General features: G+C 44.2%; 1 non-coding gene across 1 annotated transcript; it reads right to left on the bottom strand.

The window, feature by feature from the left end:
- Positions 1–3,788: 3,788 nt before the first annotated feature.
- Positions 3,789–4,001, bottom strand: LOC124902596 (small nucleolar RNA U3). Its single transcript, XR_007062425.1, has one exon. It is a non-coding gene; the product is annotated as a small nucleolar RNA U3 (small nucleolar RNA).
- Between the last annotated feature and the right edge of the window lie 1,125 nt (positions 4,002–5,126).

The raw sequence follows: 5,126 nt of genomic DNA on the forward strand, positions 1-5,126 counted from the left end.
TCAGGATACGTAGGACACTAAACTATTTTTTAGAAAGTTGCTTAGGGCCGGGCAGGGTGGCTCACACCTATAATCCCTTGGGAGGCCAACGTGGGCAGTCACTTGAGGCCAGAAGTTTGAGACCAGCCTGGCCCACATGGTGAAACTCCATCTCAACTAAAAATACAAACATTAACCAGGCGTAGTGGTGTGTGCCTGTAATCCCAGCTACTCTGGAGGTTGAAGTAGGAAAATCTCTTGAACCTGGGAGGCAGAGGTGGCAGTGAGCCAAGATCATGCCACTGCACTCCAGCCTGGGCTACAGAGCGAGACTCTGTCTAAAACAAAAAACAAACAACAACAACAAAAAAAAACAGTTGCTTAGAAATCTGGACGTGGTGGCTCATACCTGTAATCCCAGCACTTTGGGAGGTGAGGCAGGAGGATTGCTTGAGCCCAGGAGCTTGAGATCAGCCTGGGCGATATAGTGAGACTTTGTCTCTACAAATAATTATTTTTTAAAAATTAGCCAGGTGTGGTGGCTCACACCTGTGATCCCAGCTACTGTGGAGGCTGAGGTGGGAGGATCACCTTAGTCCAAGAGGCAGAGGTTGCAGTAAGCCAAGATCGTGCCACTGCACTCCAGCCTGGGTGACAAAGTGAGAGCTTGAAGAAAAAAAAAAAAGAAGGAAGGCGGGGGGGTGGGGCGGGGGGAGAGAGAGAGAGAGGAAAGAAAGAGAAAGAAAAGAAAGAAAGAGAGAGAAAGAGAAAGAAAGAACAAGAAAGGAAGAAAAGGAAGGAAGAAGAAAGAAAAAGAAAAGAAAGAAAGAAAGAAAGAAAGAAAGAAAGAAAGAAAGAAAGAGAGAAAGAAAGAAAGAAAAAAAGAAAAGAGAAAGTTGCTTAGAGCAACATGAGATAGTATTTTCTTAAGGGATATTTTATCCAGGCATGGTGACGCTAAAGATTTACTTTTAACCATATGAGAGTAACTAAAATATGGGCATCTGTCAGATTCAAGAACTTTCTTCCGTGAACAATTAGCAGAACCAGTTTCCTAAACCAGTTCATCTTCCTCTTGGACACACAGGAAGGCTACATTTCTTGGTGTTCTTGCATCTAGGTGGGGCCATGTGACCAGTGCTGGCAAATGGGATGGAAGCAAAAGCGATGCCTATCATATCTAGGCCTGGCCCCTGGACTTCCCACTCCTGCCCTCTGCACTGGCTCACTCTCTCTCTTCCCTGTCCATTGATGAGACACAGAGATCCCATAGTGGAACCAGTTTTGGAAAGCCTGGCTCCTTGAATGAGTTTGTGGGGACCCACCCCTCACTCCCAGTGGACAGCAATGTGAGAGGGAACTAATTCTGTTGTGTTTAGTCATGCATATTTCAAGATTGTTTGTTATAGCAGTTAACTCACCCTAAATAATACAGAAAATATCAGATTAAACTCTACCAACTATTTACTTTTGGGGATCCCCTATGAAGACTGTGCAAACAATTTCCGTTCTATGAATATGCTTTTCTTTTTTTTTTTTTTTTTCCAGACAGAGTCTTACTATGTCAAGTAGGCTGGCGTGCAACAGTGCAATCATCGTTCACTGCAGCCTTGAACTCCTGGGCTCAAGCAGTCCCCCCATCTCAGCCTCCTGAATAGCTGGGACAACAGGCATGTGCCACTATACCTGGCTTTTTTTTTTTTTTTTTCTGGACACAGGGTCCTGCTCTGTCACCCAGGCTGGTCTCAATGGATATGCTCTTCTTAAAAACAAAGTAAAATCCAATTGAATCATTTTACACTTCAGTCAATTCACCTTTTATTTCCTGCGAATACAGCTTATTCTGATGGGGCTGTGTGCTTCCTGAGACTAGCCCTCGTTACTCACTGGGCATTTCTGCTATGGAAGCATCACAGCTCTCTGGCCTCTGGAGAGTGGGCTGGTTCTCCAGAAAACTGATCTCAACCAGTACATGTTTTGTTTTTAGTTTTCAAAATTAAAAAAGTTTTCTTTGAAATAGCTTCTTTTTAAAATGTAAGTACAATACGCTTTTTTTTTTTTTTTTTTTTTTTTTTTGAGACAGAGTCTTGCTCTGTCGCCCAGGCTGGAGTGCAGTGGCGCGATCTCGGCTCACTGCAAGCTCCGCCTCCCGGGTTCACGCCATTCTCCTGCCTCAGCCTCCCGAGTAGCTGGGACCACAGGCGCCCCCCACCACGCCTGGCTAATTTTTTTGTATTTTTAGTAGAGAACAGGGTTTCACCGCGTTAGCCAGGATGGTCTTGACCTCCTGACCTCGTGATACGCCCGTCTCGGCCTCTCAAAGTGCTGGGATTACAGGCGTGAGCCACCACGCCCGGCCTTTTTTTTTTTTTTTTGAGATGGAGTCTTGCTCTGTCACCGATGCTGAGTGCTCTGCTCACTGCCACCTCCACCTCCCAGGTTCAAGTGATTCTCCTGCCTCAGCCTCCCGAGTAGCTGTGACTACAGGCACCTGCAGTGACACCTGGCTAATTTTTGTATTTTTAATAGAGACGGAGTTTTGCCATATTGGCCACGCTGGTCTCGAACTCCTGACCTCAAGTGATCCGCCTGCCTCAGGCTCCCAAAGTGCGGGGATTACAGGCATAAGCCACTGCACCTGGCAAAAACTGCTTTTTTTTTTTTAAGTTATTACAAGCAACACTGCTCTGAACATTCTTATACAATCATCTTTGCATAATGGTGGAATTATCTTCTAGGGATAAGTTCCTAAAAGTGATAATGATATGCATATATTATATTTGGATAGATATTGCCAAACTACCCTATAAAAGCATAACAATGTGTAGTATCACCAATATTTTATGGTACTGTTCATTTTACCATATATTTGCCAACAATGTGTTTTATCCAAAGTATTCATCATGGCAAATCTGATGTGGGAAATGCTCTTCTGATTTATTTGCATTTCTTTGCTTTTCAGGGAGATTGAATGTAGTCTCATATCTTACTGGTAAATTTCCTATTCATGTCTTTTGCCCATGTTTCTCTTGTCTGTCTTATTATTTTGTAAATGCTCTTTGTATAGAAAAGATAATCCACCCATTGTCTCTCATATCTGTTGCAGATTTTTTTCTCATTTTCCTATTTTAAAATTTTATCTGTGTTTTTTTCCATATTAAAGATGTTATGCAGACAAACACATCCATCATTTTTCTTGGACTTCTGGATATTATGTGATGCTTTCAACCTCAACTCTATGTTTTCTTTCTTTCTTTCTTTCTTTTTTTTTTGGCTTTGTCACCCAAGCTAGAGTGCAGTGGCTCAATTTCAGCTCACTACAACTTCTGCCTCCCAGGTTCAAGTGATTCTCGTGCCTCAGTCTCCTGAGTAGCTGGGATTACAAGTGTGCACCACCAGGCCCAGCTAATTTTTTTTTTTTTTTGTACTTTTAGTAGAGACAGGTTTTTGCTATGTTGGCCAGGCTGGTCTCAAACTCCTGACCTCAAGTGATCTGCCCGCCTTGGCCTCCCAAAGTGCTGGGATTACAAGCATGAGGCACTGAGCCAGGCCTGTATTTTCACCCTGTTGGCCAGGCTGGTCTGGAACGCCTGACCTCAAGTGATCCACCTGCCTCAGCCTCCCAAAGTGTTGGGATTACAGGTGTGAGCCACCGTGCCTGGCCCAGATGTATGTATATGATACTGAAGATGCATGAGAAGGGCTTCCTGGGCAGGGTTCAAAGTTCAAAACGAGAATTTGCATCTGTGCCTGGTCCCATGTTAGTGTTCTTGTTTTGTTGTTTGTTGTTTGTTTTTTTAAGAAGGGAAACCACTTGGACTGCGTCCTCTCCTTCTTACCCTACCGGAGGAAAGAAAGAACATCATCAACGCCTAATGGCAGGTGCAACAAAACAACTCCGAGAGCTGGCTTCATGCTCAGGAAAGAACACAGTGTGTCCTGCTCCTGGCATCCAGCTCCACACGATCAGAGAAACTGCCCCCGCAATGAGCTGTGGACATGAACTCTGAAAGCACAGTCCTCACACATGCGTGCTCTCAGGGAAACAGCCATGTCTGGGCTGATTATGATGTGCAGAAAGTTGGCCTTCGTGGCCTCCTTTCTCTCTGTCTCTCTCTCTCTCTTTCTCTTTATCTGTCTCTCTCTCCCTGTCTCTTTCTCTGTTTGTCTCTCTCTCCCTTTCTCCGTCTCTCTCTCTTTCTCTCCCTCTCTCTGTTTCTCTCTGTCTCTCTCTCCTTTTTCTCTCCTTCTCTTTATCTCTCTGTTTCTCTCTCTGTCTCTGTCTCTGTTGATATGTGTGTCTCTCCTCTTTCTCTTTCTCTCTTCTCTTTCTCTTTCTTTCTCTCTTTCTGTCGATGTCTCTCTCTGTCTCTTACTCTCATCTCTTACCTGTCTCTCTCTGTCTCTCCCTGTCTCTCCCTTTCTCTTTGTCTCTCTTTCTCTCTATTTCTATTTCTCTCCCTCTCTCTGTTTCTCTTTCTCTCTGTCTGTCTCTTTCTGTATCTCTCTGTCTATCCCTCTCCTTTTTCTCTCCCTCTCTTTGTCTGTTTCTCTCTCTGTCTCTGTCTCTCTCCTTCTTTCTCTCCCTCTGTTTCTTTCTCTCTGTGTCTCTGCCTCCCTCTCTCCTCTCTCTCTGTCTCTCTCTCTGTCTCCGTCTCTCTGCACTCTGGCATCTCCAAACCTGCCCACCTCCTGCAGTATCTTGCTCTCAGCTAACTGCTATAAAACAACTCTTAAGACTCTCCATGGTAAAGGCTTAAGAAACTATTCTCTCTTCAGAGGTACTTTCAGGATTTTCTATATACCTGTCAGAACCCGTTAGTGAAAGACACTGCTTCCTGCCCAGAGCATCACCCACCTTGACAGCTACCTTCTTCAAGGAGAAAAACACCTCAAAAAATTACTGTGTATGTTTTTATGCCCGGTCTGGTTGGTGCAAGGAGGATTCATCTTATTAAATGTCAGACATGCAAATTCTTCTTAAAGAATCATGCCTAGAAATTGGGCTCAGCTATTTAATGCCATCTGAATATGATGTCCCAGTAGGAGCAAGAGTGTCTTCCTGGTTATTTTGATGGGGAGAGGGAAATGAATTTGGGTAAAAACTAGCAGTTATGGGAGCTGGTGGATTCTGCAAAGCAGAAAGT

The sequence above is a fragment of the Homo sapiens genome, chromosome 10, assembly GCF_000001405.40.
Source record: "Homo sapiens chromosome 10, GRCh38.p14 Primary Assembly".
In the NCBI taxonomy this organism is placed as follows: Eukaryota; Metazoa; Chordata; class Mammalia; order Primates; family Hominidae; genus Homo; species Homo sapiens.